The 16,567-nt window shown below is 37.7% G+C and overlaps 1 protein-coding gene across 3 annotated transcripts in view, besides 3 other annotated features; it reads right to left on the reverse strand.

The window, feature by feature from the left end:
* Positions 1-16,567, reverse strand: part of UACA (uveal autoantigen with coiled-coil domains and ankyrin repeats) — a 124,350-nt gene that overhangs the window by 49,401 nt on the left and 58,382 nt on the right. The gene's annotated exons all lie outside the window — the stretch shown is intronic.
* Positions 6,277-6,777: an enhancer, noted in NCBI's record as "H3K27ac hESC enhancer chr15:71002570-71003070 (GRCh37/hg19 assembly coordinates)". NCBI's record gives its function as "activates a minimal SCP1, AML or CMV promoter by ChIP-STARR-seq in naive H9 embryonic stem cells {active_cell/tissue: H9 hESC(naive)}" and the evidence as "EXISTENCE:reporter gene assay evidence [ECO:0000049][PMID:30033119]".
* Positions 9,302-9,841: an enhancer, noted in NCBI's record as "H3K4me1 hESC enhancer chr15:71005595-71006134 (GRCh37/hg19 assembly coordinates)". NCBI's record gives its function as "activates a minimal SCP1, AML or CMV promoter by ChIP-STARR-seq in naive H9 embryonic stem cells {active_cell/tissue: H9 hESC(naive)}" and the evidence as "EXISTENCE:reporter gene assay evidence [ECO:0000049][PMID:30033119]".
* Positions 14,690-15,191: an enhancer, noted in NCBI's record as "H3K27ac hESC enhancer chr15:71010983-71011484 (GRCh37/hg19 assembly coordinates)". NCBI's record gives its function as "activates a minimal SCP1, AML or CMV promoter by ChIP-STARR-seq in naive H9 embryonic stem cells {active_cell/tissue: H9 hESC(naive)}" and the evidence as "EXISTENCE:reporter gene assay evidence [ECO:0000049][PMID:30033119]".

Consider the following 16,567-nt stretch of genomic DNA (forward strand, 5'->3'; position numbering starts at 1 on the left):
GTGTCCCACTCTACCCCACCACTCTTTATCCTTGCACCGTTTTACTTTTCTGCAGGGAGCTCATCAGTATCTGCCATTACATCAGATGTTTATCTGTTTATTAGCTTACTGCCTGTCTCCTCAGCTCCCCTCTAATTTGACTATATCTAAGGTTTCTTCTGTGTCTGGTTTGAAACTATAAAACTAATTTTTCAATAAGTAACTTGGTAGTCAGTCACTAGATTCTCACCCATCTTAAGAACCAGAATCCACATCTGCTTCATGAATCCTCTTTCCTCTTGGACTAAATTGTTAAATAGGCTAGATCTGTAACACACATTTACCAGCAACATTGTTCCCCAGTAAACTATCCACATTCAGATAACAAGTATCTATTGACCTGAGATGAGGGCAGTTAGCCCATGAGTGGTTCAGCTGATTGCAACTGAGCAAACAGATCCTACTGCTCATGGTCGATAAAAGATCCTTCTTCACACATACTCCTGCACATCCCACACCGCAAGTCTTTCTTTACCAGCCTACAAATCCACTGGACTCCTCAAAAAGCACTTTAGTTAAAACACATGTTCTTCAGAATTTTGCCTGACTCAAAAGTCTACCTGCTGTATGTATACTAGTAGGATAATTTATTTATACTTTCTAGGCACCAGTGCTCTCAACTACAAAGCAAGGATAACAATAGAGAACCTATATGTGTAAAATCAAATAGCTAATAGATATGAATGATCTCAGCACCATGCATGGTAGATGTTTATGCCCAAAAATGGTAGGCACTGGCGAGAGTCACAGGTGCTCCTGCTCCTGGGTCAGAGTTACTCTTAAAAGAAAAACTTCAGCTGAATTAAATTTAAAGTTGTTTAATTGAGCAATGAACCATTCAGAAATCAGGCAGCCCACAAAATCACAGCAGATTCAGAGAGACCCCAGGGATGCCTTGTGGTCAAAACAAATTTATAGATTAAAAAGGGAAGTGATGTGTAGAAATCAGAAGGGAGGTACAGAAATAGCTGGATTGGTTACAGGATGGCGTTTGTCGTATTTGAATACAGTTTGAACACTCAGCAGTGTATGAGTGGTTGAAGTATGTGACTGCTGGGATTGGCCAAGACTCAGCTATTGTTACGGGCGCATACTCCTAAATTAGGTTTTCAATCTTGCCTATCTATTAAGTTAGGTTATGGTTCATCCACAAGGACTCAAATATAGAAGTACAGAGTCCTTCTCAAGGCATATTTAGTTTGCTTTAATATCACTAATCAGAAAAACACTCTTTAAAAAATTAACAAAGAAGTGGCTGGGTGCGGTGGCTCACGTCTGTAATCCCAGAACTTTGAGAGGCCAAAGCAGGCGGATCACCTGAGGTCAGGAGCTCGAGACCAGCCTGACCAATGGGGTTTAGTAGAGAAACCCCGTCTCTATTAAAAATACAAAATTAGCCAGGCATGGTGATGCATGCCTGTAATCCCAGCTACTCCAGAGGCTGAGGAAGGAAAATCGCTTGAACCCGGCAGGCGGAGGTTGCAGTGAGCCAAGATCGCAGCATTGCACCCCAACTTGGGCAACAAGAGCGAAACTCCATCTCAAAAAAATAAAATAAAATAAAAAAATAAAAATCCAACCAAACCTCTAGAAGTAACAATTTACAAGAAATACAGGGGACAGAGAAATATAATAAACTATATCACAAAGATTGCATCACAGGATGCAAACAGAAAGATCTACCATCGAGTAAACCATGGTTTCTTAAACAAAATACGGCAAGATTAAAAAGACAGAATTTAACCTATAAATTAAAAGTGACTTCAGAAACCTATCAAGCAATCATAAGTCACAGAACTTAAGTACCCTGATTAAACAAACTATATTTATAAAAATAAAACAATTGAGAAAATATGACTACTGACTGGATATTGGATGGCATTAAAGAATTATAGTAAACTGAGATTTCTGATGTGATAATCTTATAATTATTTCTGAAAATCCCCATGTTTTAAAAATACATACTGAAATATTTTTAGATCAAATGAATCAAGTGATAAGATGCCTGGTATTTGCTTCAAAAATAATCAAAACAATCAGAGGGCAAACCTAATCTAATAGCACATTTAAAAGATTATACACCATGATCAACTGTATAATCTTTATTCCTGGAATGCAAGGACGTTTCAATATATGAAATTCATTGTAATATACCACCTTAATAGAATAAAGGACAAAAATCACAATGATCATATAAGTTGATATAGAAAAAGCATTTGACAAGACTCAACATCCTTTCATGGTAAAAATACCCAAAAAACTGTGACTAGAAGGAAACTGCCTCAACACAATAAAGACCATATATGAAAAGCCCACTGCTAACATTATACTCAACTATGGAAAACTGAAAGCTTTTCCTCTAAGATCAGGCAGAAGACAAAGATGCTGCTCTGGCCATTTCTATTAGCATAGAACTGGAAGGCCTACTCAGAGAAATTAGGCAGGAAAAAGAAATAAAAGACATCCAAATCAGAAAGGAAGAAGTTGAAATCATCTCTGTTCTCAAATGCAATGATCTTATTTGTTAAAAAAAAAAAAAAAAAACTCTAAAGATTACAGATACAAACATACTCATACACACAAACAAAACAAAAACCTGTTAGAATAAATTCAGCAAAGGTGTGGGAGAGAGTACACAAAAATCAGTTGCATTTCTATATAATAACAATGAACAATCCAAGACAAAATTAAACAATTCCATTTACAATACCTTCAAAAATAATAAAATACTTAGGAATAAGCCTAGTCAATTAGGTGAAAAATTTGTACACTAAAAATGACAAAACATTTTTGAAATTAAAGAAGTGACAAATCTAAAGACATCCCAGGTTCACAAATTTGGAAAACTGAATACCGTTAAGATGTCAATACCACCCAAGGCAATCCAGAGATCAGTGCAATCCCTATCAAAATCCCAATGGCATTTTTGCAGAAATAGAAAAGTAAATCCTAACATTCACATGGAATCTCAAGGGACTTCAAATAGGCAGTCTTGAAAAGGAAAAAGAAAGTTGAAGACCTCACACTTCCTGATTTCAAAGCATATTATGAAGCTATAGTAATCAAAACAGTGTCATAATGGCATAAAGACAGACATATAGACCAGTGGAATAAAGTAAACAGCCCACAGATAAACCCTCATGTAATAGTCAAATGATCTTCAACAAGGTGCCAAGAGCACTCAATAGAGAAAGAACAATCTCCTCAACAGTGTTGGGAAAACTGGATAGCCACATGCAAAAGAACAAAGTTGGACCTTTATCTTACATCAGATGCAAAAAATGACTCAAAATTGATTGAAGACCTAAACATAAGACCCCAAACTATAAAACTCCTAGAAGAAAACACAGGAGAAAACTTCGTAAATTGGATTTGGCAATGATTTCCTGGATGTGACACCAAAAGCTCAGCTACAAAAGCAAAAATAGATCAATGAAACTATATCAAACTTCTGTGCAGCAAAAGAAACAATCAACAGAATAAAAAGGCAACCTACAGAATGCGCAGAAATATTTGCAAATCATATATCTAATAAGGGGCTAATACATAAATTACATTTTTAAATTACTATGACTCAACAACAACAACAACAAAGATTTTAAAATGGGCAAAGGACTTGAATAGAAATTTCTACAAAGATAATATACAAATAGCCAACAGGCATAAAAAGATATGTTCAATGTCACTAATCATTAAAAAAAAAGCAAATCAAAACCACAGTGAGATATAACCTCACACTCATTACGAATGCTAACATCCCAAAATAAGGAATAAGAAAAGAACAAGTGTTAGCAAGAATGTGTAGAAATTAGAACCCTTGTGCACTGTGGGGATTGTAAAATAGTCCAACTACGATGGAACACATATGGTGATTCCTCGAAAAATTATAAATAGAACTACCATATGATCCAGCCATCCTACTTCTGGGTATATATCCAAATGAGTTGAAAGCAGGGTCTCCTAGAGATATCTGCATATCCATATTCATAGTAGCATTATTTATAATAGCCAAGAAGTGGAAATAATCCAAATGTCCATTGATGGCTGAATGGATAAACAAAATGTGGCATATGCATACAATGGAATACTATTTAGCCTTAAAAAGGAAGGAAATCCTGTCACATGCTACGACATAGATGAATCTTGAGAGACATTATGCTAAATGAAATTAGCCAGTCAAAAAAAGACAAATACTGTATGATTTACTTACATGAGGTACCTAAAGTAGGCAAATTTACAGAAACAGAAAACAATGGTAAATATCAGGGCTGTGGCAGGAGCAGAGGTGGGGAGCTATTGTTTAATGGGTATAGAGTTTCAATTTTGCAAGATAAAGTTTTAAAGATCAGTTGCATAACAATGTGAACATACTTAACACATGAATTTAAAATGGTTGACAGTAAATTTTTATGTTTCCAGTATAATTAAAAATAATAATAAAAACATAAGTGCAATCTCTCACAATACTATCTTTTTTTTTTTTTTTGAGACGGAGTTTGTTCTGTCACCCAGGCTGGACTGCAATGGCACAATATCAGCTCACTGCAGCCTGCAACCTCCACCACCCAGGTTCAAGCTATTCTCCTGGTTCAGCCTCCCGAGTAGCTGGGATTACAGGTGCACACCACCCACACCCGGCTAATTTTTTTGTATTTTTAGTAGAGACAGGATTTTGCCATGTTGGCCAGGCTAGTCTTGAACTGCTGACCTCAAGTGATCTGCCCACGTCGGCCTCCCAAAGTGCTAGGATTACAGGTGTGAGCCACTGTGCCCGGCCAGCCTATTGCATGATTAATACTAACAAATATTAATTTTTTTAAATCAATCAGGGGTTTGTGAGTATAGATAAAACAAGATTGGCCACAGGTTAATAACTGTTAAAGCTGAGTTACAGGTTCATGAGAGTTCATTATAGTAAACTATTCTCTCAAGTTCTGTAATTTCATTCACCGTTAATAAAATGGCTGATGTATACATATTTAAACTGCAAAACATCGTTATCACCAATGCCTTTCACTGAGTCATCAATGTGGCAGGAAAAGCAGCACGTCCTTTCCACTCTAATCCTTTAACAAAAGATACCTCTCTGCTTCAAAAGAAAGTATTAACATATCAACATATCTTGGTGAGTCCACAGTCATATACTTACAAGGCAAGCCCCATAATATCAAATGAAAGCCTTCTAAAAAGAAGCAGTAAATTTTTTGAGTGGTATTAATGTTTACCATATATTATAACAAGTAAATTTCTACAGTCAGTTATTATGTTGGTTTGAAAAAGAGACATTCATCCCATTCAGAAAGCAGCAAGCCAAAGTATCTATGGTAAAAGACAAAATATAGTTGTTTCTAGAGAACAAACATTTTAACACAAATCAGTTATTTCACCTGGTAGATCTAACTGGATAACGTTAAACTCTAAATCAACATAAAAGAAATCACAAGTTTTGACATTGACTCTCATATTAATATCAATTAGAAATTTGTAACTATTCCAGATATATAAAATTTGAATTTGAAAAGTAATGTATGTTTAGTGTAGAAAGCCTAGAATACATTTAAGTGTATAAATGAAAAGAGATACCCCATAATTCCACCATGCAGAAATAACCATTATTAAAAACTTTACATCTAGACTCTTTTCTGTTAAAAAGTCTGAACAAGATTTATTTAAGCCTATGAGTCCAATACTGAATATTAATTTATTCAATATTTAAGACAGAAAGTCTCCTAAGAAATTTGTAGATGCAAATAAGTAAGTAGACTTTAACATATATGCAAATCCATATGAAATACCTTATACTGTTTAATGGCTAGTCAACAAATCATAGCTAAAATGATTAGGTAACTAGTTTTAGCCTAAAGGTAATTTATATAGGATGATAGCAAAACTTTGATAAAAAACTGCTTAAAGCCAAGAGGAGTCATCCCGAACAAAAGTATCTAATTCACTGATCTTAATAATTTTGGTGTCATGGATCCCTTTAAAAATCTAATGAGGCAGGGTGTGGTGGCTCTCGCCTATAACCCCAGCACTTTGGGATCACTTGAGCCCAGGAGTTGAGACCAGCCTGGGCAACATGACGAAACCCTCTCTCTACAAAAAATACAAAAAAATTAGGTATGGTGGCACACACCTCTAGTCCCAACTATTTGGGAGGCTGAGGTGGGAGAATCACCTAGTCCTGGGAAGTCGGGGCTGCAGTGAGCCAAGTTCGTGCCACTATATTCCAGCCTGTCTGTTACAGCAAGACCCTGTCTCCAAAAAATGAATAAAAATAAATAAAAAATAAATCTGAGAAAAGCAATGGACCCTCTTTTTATTTATAATTGCATATAAGCACTCTGTGAGATAGGAAAAACCAAACTTTTCCCAACTCTCACACTCACCACAAAATACTTCCGTGACCAAATGCAGAGAGGTTTTCCCCACTTACAGAGCAATTCTCCAGCACACAACATCTGGGTCTCCTACAATTTAACTCATTTTTGACACTAGCTACCTGGAGATAGTGTCAGATCGCACAGACCTACAGACTCAGTCCCATAAGACTGTCACTCCCACCCTTCAGATGCCAACTGCAAGCCCCAGCTTGTGACCTGTGCTTCTGACCAACTGCCTGTAAATCAGGGTTCCCATGACCCATGATTAATTTGCTAGAGCAGCTCACAGGACTCAGGGAAACACTTTACCTATGCTTACTCGTTTATTGTAAAGGATGTTACCAAGCTTGCAGATCGAAGCGATGCAAAAGGCAAAGAATGTGGGAAGGCGTGAAGGGCTTTTTTGCCCTCTCCTGGTTCACCATCCTCCAGGTGCCTCCACATGTTCAGCAACCAGGAAGCTCTCTGAACCCTGTCCTTTTGGGGCTTTCACGGAGGCTACATTGCATAGGCATGACTTTTTACATCACTGGCCATTGGTGATCAACTCAACCATCAGCCCCTTTCCCCGCCCCTGAGGCTGGAGTGGGCTGAAAGTTCCAACCCTCTAATCATGGCTTGGTCTTTCTGGAAGACCAGTCCCCATCCTGAAACTATCTAGGGGCTCCCAGTCATCTCATTAGCATACAAAAGGCACTCTTATCTCTCTGGAGATTCCAAGGGTTTTAGCAGTTGTTTGCCAGAAACCAGAAACAGGGATCAAATACATCTTTCTTGTTACATCATAATATCAAAAGCACATATTCAGAAAAATTTATATTTATTTTCAAAGGGTTCACTGACCTCCTTTGCACAATATAGAATCCATAAACCCCCAAAATAAAGTTTTAAACCCTAATATAAGGAGAGGCAGCAAAAAAATGTGTATTTTACATAATGTTTATAAAATAAGTACCAAAGAACTGCCAGAAGCCTGGATAATTCATTTGTTCAATAAAAATTAGGCCGGGCACGGTGGCTCACACCTGTAATCCTACCACTTTGGGAGGCCAAGGCGGGCAGATCACTTGAGGTCAGGAGGACAAGACCAGCCTGACCAACATGGCAAAACCATCTCTACTAAAAAAAAAAAAAAAATTACAACAACAAAATAATTACTAAACACCTATGCGCAAAGGGATATAAATATTTCACTCAACATTCAAATATGTATGATCAGTTGATAGTGCCAAGCCCCATTTACAGTGCTAGATATACCAGGGGAAAGAAAATAGACATGATACCTGGCCTCAAGCAGGTGACAGGAATTAAACCCAGTTACTTTCTTCAACTGATCTCAAAGTATAATAAGGCAGACAGATACATATATAAACATGCACAAAACAATTACAGTATACTATAACACCACCACAATAATTATGTGTGAAATACTGAAATAGTTCAAAAGAGGGAAAGTCAGAAAAGTTCTATAGAGATGACTAACCTATCTATTAAAAGGTAAGCAGAAAATCACCAGGTTTGAAATATCATCACAAATTTAGGAAACGACAAACACAACGTATGGCCTTTTATGGTCTACAAAGCACTTTATATTCATGATATATGTATCAATTAAAAGCTACATGCAAATGACTCAGAAACACATCTGCAACCCAGGCTCCTCTAAGCTCCAGGCATATATATATATATATCTCCATATACCTTCTTCATGATTCTTCTTGAGTGTTTTAAAAGTACCTACATGTCCCAAACCAAAAACATGCTCTTCCTCCTGAATTCTGATCCTACTCCAAGTTTCATTAACACAGCAAAGACACCAGAATCCATCTGGTTATCTGGTTGTGTGTAGACAGAAACCTAGATATTAATCTTGACACCTTCCTTTCCTTGGTCCCCATCACCAAATCCTGCTGATTTTACCTCCCCATCTTACTGAAATCCATCTGCTCATCTCCATGTCCATCAAAATTACCCTATTCCAAGTTAGTACCATCCCTCACCAGGATGGCTGCATTTATCTCCTAAATGGTTTGTTCTCGTTCATTCTAGCCCCTTTCCTTGTGTTCTCCACACTGCGGTCAGTAATTTTTCTAAAAAGGAAACCTAATCATACCACCACCACCACTTCCCTATATCCTGTCCCACCTCAGTTAAAATCCTTTCAGTAGCTTTCTATTGCTTGTAGGATAAATACAAAGCTCTTTAATGGAGTCCAAAACTCCCTGCACAGTGCTGCCCTCACTTGCCTCCTTATATCATACGGAAAGTTAACCCTGTTTCTCATTTTATACATGCAGAAATGGAGTCACTAGGAGATTAGGGGATTTGGTCTGCTATAAGGCAAATGTAATTAGTTGCAGAATGATTAAAGAATCCTGTTGTTTTGACTTCTTGTCCAGTGCTCTTTGTACTAGTTAAGCTATTTCCATTTCTCTAATCATCTGGAAAAAAATCTTCAATGTAAAAGTATCTTTTTAAAATTTCCACATAATAAACTTAGATATCCTTTATAGCAAAAAGGATGAAAACTTCCATATTTGCATATGCAAACTTTTATGAAGCATCTACTACTGTCAGGCATGGAAGACAGCCCAAGTCTCTCTTCCCATGGAACTTGATGTTCTAATGAAGAAAGATAAGTAAGCAACCAAGGAAAACAAACTATCACGTAAGAATAGGGAAGGAGAGCCGGGCGCAGTGGCTCACGCCTGTAATCCCAGCACTTTGGGAGGCCGAGGCGGGCGGATCATGAGGTCAGGAGATTGAGACCATCCTGGCTAACACAGTGATGTATTTTTAGTAGTCTCTACTAAAAATACAAAAAATTAGCCGCGCGCGGTGGCCGGCGCCTGTAGTCCCAGCTACTCGGGAGGCTGAGGCAGAATGGCGCGAACCCAGGAGGCAGAGCCTGCAGTGAGCCGAGATCGCGCCACTGCACTCCAGCCTGGGCGACAGAGCGAGAAAGAATAGGGAAGGAGATGTGATGAAAATGCTGAGAGTTGACTGTTAGGTTGGGTAACTGAAAAAGGCTGTTGTAAGAATGTGATCTTGACGGTGATAGCCGAGTGACAAGGAATTTACATCCCAGACAGTGGGAACAACTAGTGAAAGGAGCTTGGATGTCTGAAAGAAGGCCAATGTAGCTGATGCATAATGAGTAAGACAATCCCAGGATGAGATAAGAAGGCAGACACCACCAGATCTATAATATGGGATTCCTCAGTTTTATCGTAAACATTTTTCAAAAGGGACTTCTTGAAGGATTAAGGCAACTGTAGTTTCATGAAGTTCTTTTGGTCACTTTGGAATCAAGTCTACAAAAATAACTCATCCTGACATACTATTTTTTTTCACTTCCAAGAATTTATATTGAGCAATATTACCAGCTGAATCTTAACTTGCTTTGAAATGTTTATAAGATGGATCAATTACCTTAATATAATAGATATCTTATATACCTCACCCACTTCAAACCTAGAAATCTAAATAAACTTTACAATGAACCATGCTAAAAAAACAACCATAAAAATAGCACTCCCCAAAACAGAGTTTCATAAAGTCACCATCCTCCAGATAAGGCTCCAAGAAAAGAAAGTCTTCTCCAATGGGAAAAATATATATCCTAAATAAAACTAAACATCATTGATGTTTAGGCAAATTCCCCCAAAACACCTAATTAAAAAAGTACACAGGCTTCTATAGTACCCTATAATTACCAACATTCTCTGTTACACAAGCTCTATCACAATTCAAAACAGCAGACAGCAAAGCTTACGAAGCATAAACATTCCTTGAAGATTAGGCTGCACAATTAAGAACTGTTCTACAGTTCACTGGATTGATGATGGCTAGAAATATTTCCCCCATTCCATTTAGTCCAAAGGTTATTTATTACTCCCACTTACATAACAGCAAATTAGAGCTTATGTAATAGAAAAGGAAAAGAATGTTAAAATATACCGGGGAAACAAAAGCTGTACAGCCAGCTTCTTTCTCCCTGACCCCTGACTCTCTTCTCTTTATTATTTCCCTTATCCTTAGTTAATTATGCCTCATTCACTTCTGTTATCCTTCCACTGTATGATTTGAAAGTATGTAGTTTGGACTCAATGGAACAAACAGAAGAAAGGGAAAATTATATCCTATCAATCATTTTCCTGACCAAGGCAAGAACAGGCTTAATCTCACTTTACCGGATTCTTCTACATAAAAATATAAAGGACAAAAAAGATGATGATGTTTTAAATAATAAATCTAACCTCTTCAGCATCTAAGGTGGCCATGAAATCTGAAAAAAAAAATTGAAGAACTGGAGTCAGAAAGACTCAGAAACCACTGCTTTGCCAAGATTTCCTAACCACCCGGTTTGATTCTATTCTAGTCTGTTGTACAAATACCAGACTGTCTGCCCCTCCCTAATGCAGGTATTTGTTACTTTATTAGAACTGTCTGGGCACTTAAAACAGTTTATGTAAAATATAGACAAGATGTGGCTTCTCCACGTTTAACAGTTATCATTTGTACTGTAATATTACTTATTTTACCCTTCCTCAAGAGGAGATGCATTAAATTACTAAGTAAATATATACATAGATCTTAAACAGAACAAATTATAATGTGTATCATACAAGAATGAAGCTTTCAGGCTGGATAAGATTTTGTTTAATATTCCCTTAAAAATACTACACAATTGGTTATTTGGAAAAAAATAAATTTTGTTCCTTGGTATTTTTTGAAAAGTGTATTCGACAAGAGTTCTTAAAAAGCCTAAATGTCATAAGTAAAATTTTTTAAATATAAAGCTAAAAACCAAGGAGGGTCACTGTGCCTTCTATCCCTATATATACCAATGAACACAGTAATAGTTACGGTGAATTTTAACAAATATTTTTGCCAATGTTTGATATGTATCTCAAAACAGGAGAGTTTTAGAAAGCTATGTTTATTCTCAACAAAGTAAAAGGCAAAACAGATACACTTATTAAAGAGCCTCTGATGGGGTTTGATTACAATAAAAACAAACAAAAGATATTTTTGTACCTTTGGCTTTGTAAAGAAATATTAATTAAACAAAAATAGGTTCGCTACAACTCAAAAGACTCTTCAAGTACTAAACTGAAAACAAACATTACACTATTAGCCAATATTTTTATAATGTAAAATGGGAATTATAAGGTTATATATATAAAAGCAGAGGGTTACAGGAAAGCATATGTTTTTGTAAACATATTAAAAGTTAGCTGCTCTTCCTTTTATTTATTAAATGAATAATACTTCTGCACCAATGCATAACTTTCCCCCAAACACAGCTATTTCACACAGGATTTCCTTCCAGTGAGTCTTAATACATGTCTCCCATATTAAAAATACATGGCCAAATTAATAATGAGAAAGAATGTTTGTTCTCATATTTAGATCTATAATAAAAACACAGCATTATAAATAAGGATTATATTTCAAAATTGTTTAGAAAAAACCTCTTAAGTGTTGTATATACACAATTCTTAAACTTGAAGAAGAACCCTTCAAGTTAAGTCAAACTGTTATTTCTACTTTCCAAATGGGATATAAAGGAACTAATTTAAGGCGGTGGATGATGCAGTGGATGATGCAGCCACTATCCATTTCTTTCACTGCTATAAGCCCAGCCCTTTGCAATGTGATTGTGCCACTCCTGTCATCAAGAAATGACATTTATTTCCTCATCCGTTGAATCCTTGAATCCGGCCTGGACTTGTAACTTAATTTGACAAATACAATGTGGCAGAAGTGACCTTTGTAGGAGATCCTGCTGCTTCTGCTCTACTCTGGGAATGCTGCTAGCACACTGTGAACAAGCTAGCCCCCTTGAGGGTAGGAGAGCATGACAGAAAAAGAGCCCAGCCACCCAGCCACACCAGCAAGCATCATGTGCCAGACATTATCAGTGCTGCCATTTTAGACCATCCAGTCCTCGTGCAGCCACCAGACGACTGCAGCCACATGAGTGACCCCAGACAGACCAGACCAGCAGAACAACCATGTAGCAGAGTCCAGCCCAAATTGCTGACCTACGAAGTCATCAGCAAATAAAATAGTTGTTATAAGCCACTAAATTTAAACCTAGGACTGCCTGAATCTAGAGCCTAGATTCTCTCCACTAACTACAGCTGCAAGTATTCTTTGGTTTAGAAATACAAACATCTTACCTCTTGTAGTCTAATTCAATTTTATAGATATAAGAGCAGCCAAATTGAGAAATAATAGTTTATAATTTTTTTATCCATTATCTAAAAATAGGGGATGAGCTGGGAACAGAAATGTCTTTTTACCCTCCTAAAAGAAGGAAAATAGATACAATATTAATAATATTATGCTGATAAAATTTTATTAGAAAAAGTATTTTTCCTCTTTCCCAAAGATATGCAAGTATTCATTTAAAACCTAACAGTATTCATCTATGTTTTATCAATAAAAGCTGAACTCAGCATCTGATCTAAAAGACAATCTGAATGGCCATGCAATAAAAACTAAGCAGTTAATAATTTTTATTAATAAATTTGTGGCTTCAAACAATGAAACATGGCTGGGCACAGTGGCTTATGCTTGTAATCCTAGCATTCTGGGAGGCCAAGGCGGGCAGATCACCTGAGGTCAGGAGTTTGAGACCAGTCTAACCAATATGGAGAAATCCCGTCTCTATCAAAAATACAAAATTAGCCAGATGTGGTGGCGCATGCCTGTAATCCCAGCTACTCGGGAGGCTGAGGCAGGCGAATTGCTTGAACCCAGGAGGCGGAGGTTGCGGTGAGCCGAGATCACACTATTGCACTCCAACCTGAGCAACAAGAGCAAAACTCTGTCTAAAAAACAAACAAACAATGAAACACTGCTACTACTGTAATGTCTAATCAGTATACATTCACACTTGAATGGAAACACTAAACTAGGCATGGACCATAACAGAGCAAGAACCATAAGAGCCTTCTCTATGTGTAACCTTTAGAGTTTGGCAAACTTTTTCAGTAAAAGATTACATAGTAAGTATTTTAGACTTTGCAGGCCATGTGGTTTCTGTTTTAACTATTCAACTCTGCCACTGTAAACTAAAACAGCCATAGGCAATATGTAATGAATAAGCATGGCTGTTTTCCACTAAAGCTTTATTTATAAAAATGGGCAGTAGGCCACAGTTTGCCAACCCTTGTTTCAGGTACTCACTGAACTTTGGCAAGAAGACACCTAGTTTATTGGCTCTGATCAAGCTAATCTGCATGCTGCCTTCTCATAAGACCTACCAGAAAGTACTCTCCATACTCATATTTTACTATCTGCAAAATTGCACAATGTATATGTGATGGTTAAATTTTGTGTCAGTTTGGTTCTGCTATGGTGCCCAGCTGTTTGGACAGATACAAGCACAGATGTAACTGTGAAGGTATTTTGTAGATGTGATTAACATCTATAATCAGTTGAGATTACCCTCTATAATGTAGATAGGCCTCAATCCCTTAAAGGGCTTAAGGGCAAAAACAGGATTCCCAGAGAAGAAGCAATTCTACCTCAAGACTGTAACATGAAAATCCTGCCTGACTTCCCTGCCTGCTCTACAAATTTCAGATTTGCCAGTACCATAATCACATCAGCCAATTCCTTAAAATAAATTTCTTTATACACACACACACACACACACACACACACACATATATATCCTATTAGTTTTATTTCTCTGGATAACCCTGATTTACATACTAGGTTAGTATATCCTTACATTTAAAAAGGGATATACTCTGATTTTTTGGTACATCAACAGAAAGTTATGATATATTGTATTACTATTTGAAATTATTTATTCTCCTGCTTCCTTACAAGGTGAGAGAGAGAGACAGAGGAACGGGGGGGAGGGAGGGGGAGGAGGGGGAGAGAGGGAGAGAGGAAGGGAGAGAGGGAGAGGGAGAGAGAGAGAGAATGTGTGTGTGTGTGTGTGTGTGTGTGTGTGTGTGTGTGTGTGTGTGTGTTAGGAGTTGACATCCCTAGGTTATTGCTTTGGGGATCAGCCATGTGATATGTTTGGCCAATAGAATGTGAATAGAAGTGAGGTACAATGCATGTTACCAAAAGCTTTAAGCAGCAATCTGAGTTACAGCCAGCCTTCTTGCTGTAGTACTTTGTGAAGAGACTGGCACATATCTTACGAGGCCTGTTCCTTCAGCCTTGGTTCCCAAATGAGAAAAAGTCTGGAGCAGAGCCACAGGTCAGGGCAGAACTGAAGTTGAATCACGGTCTATAATATAAAGTTAGTGGGAAATATAAGTTTGTTATCTTGAGAAGCCACTTAAATTTGGAGGTAATTACTATAACATGGCTGAACACTGCAAAATTTGGTACCAAAAGTGGGGTGCTACCTTAACAACAGCTACCACCAAAAATAATTTTAAAATATGTGATATAGGCTTTGAAACCAGGTGGCAGAAAGCAAGAAAACTGTTACTGGAGAATGGAAAAATAGCAACCCACATAAAGTGGTGGTAAATAAAACTGTCACATAAAAAATTGAATAACTTGGCAAAAAGATTATAAAAGCTGAACTTTAGTTGTCATTAAGTAGATTTAATAAAGTACCATTAGATTAGCTCATTAAAGGAAAAAGGAATCCCCCAGTCATAGGAAGGAGGAAGGAAGGGAGGAAGGAAGGGTAGAAAGAAGGGAGGAAGGAAAGAGGGAGGAAGGAAGAAAGAGAAAGAGAAGATGAAGAGAAGGAGAAGGAGAAGAGAAGAGAACAGAAGAGAAGAGAAGAGAAGAGGCTCAGAAAAGGGGCCTATGTGCAAGTAAGGATAAAAAAAGAGAGAACCTGAAATTCCTGGACTTGCAAGGTAGAAACTCCCAACTATTTCCCATTTCCAACAAGTAAAAAGGGTTTACAAAGGCCAATTATGACATAAACCCAGGGCAAAGACCAAATCATAAGTGTAGCCATCATAGTGTCTAAGACCTTTGAATTAATGCTGCCCCCAGTAAATCCACTCAGTGGAACAAAATGGCTTGGTGGGGGATTCCCCCGACAGGCAGACTAAGAATGTGGACCCACGGAAGCTCAATAAGCTCAAGATACCTGTACTGAAAACCAAAATAAAATGCACATCTCAACGAGTTGAGGATGTAGCTACTGGCACATGGCTCTGACTGAAATCAAATAGATAAAAAGAAAAAATACAACCACCAAAACATCATTCTGTTTGAATTAAGGAAACATTATTCTTCTAGATTACCTTTGGGCCCTCGATTTTCTATAGGCAAGAAGTGGGTTGAGAAAGGTGTTCAACCCTTATAACACTCCCTGACCAAGAAGAGCATATCCTCCAATACTCCATTCAAAAGTAGACAAGAATGATATATTAAAGGAAACACCTTACAGAGTACCCACCCAAGAATCATGGAAAACAACAAACTGGGTGAATAATCGAGGAAAATCCCCTAGGGCCAAGAAAAGTTACCCTTCCTACATTTATCCAGTAAGATTTTCATTGCTAAGGACCCACAATTGTTATGTGCTTCCTTTCTTCCCCCTTATTTATTTATAAATTGTTTGAGATACAGGGTGATATGGTTTGGATCAGCGTCCCCACCCAAATCTCATGTTGAATTGTAATCCCCAATGTTGGAGGTCAGCCTGGTGAGAGGTGACTGGATCATGGAGGCAGATTTCTCCCTTTGGTGCTGTTCTCATGAGATCTGGTTGTTTAAAGCATGCAGCACCTCCCCTCTTTCTCTTCCTCCTGCTCCAGCCATGTAAGATATGCCTGCTTCCCCTTCACCTTCTGCCCTGATTGTAGTTTACTGAGGCCTCTCCAGAAGCAAATGCCACTATGTTTCCTGTCCAGCCTGCAGAACAGTGAGCCAATTAAACCTCTTTTCTTTATAAATTACCCATTCTCTGGTATTTCTTTATAGCAATGTGTGAATGGACTAATACACAGTGTCTTGCTTTGTTGCCCAAGCTGGAGTGCAGTTGTATGATCATGACTAACTGCAGCCTCAAACTCCTGGGCTCAAGTGATCTTCCCACCTCAGCCTCCCAAAGTGCTACTACAGGCATGAGCCACCATGCCCCACCCATTCTTCCCCTTTCTTAACAGGAATGTTTATTGTGGATATCCTGTCTCTGT

The sequence above is a fragment of the Homo sapiens genome, chromosome 15, assembly GCF_000001405.40.
Source record: "Homo sapiens chromosome 15, GRCh38.p14 Primary Assembly".
NCBI classification, from domain to species: Eukaryota; Metazoa; Chordata; class Mammalia; order Primates; family Hominidae; genus Homo; species Homo sapiens.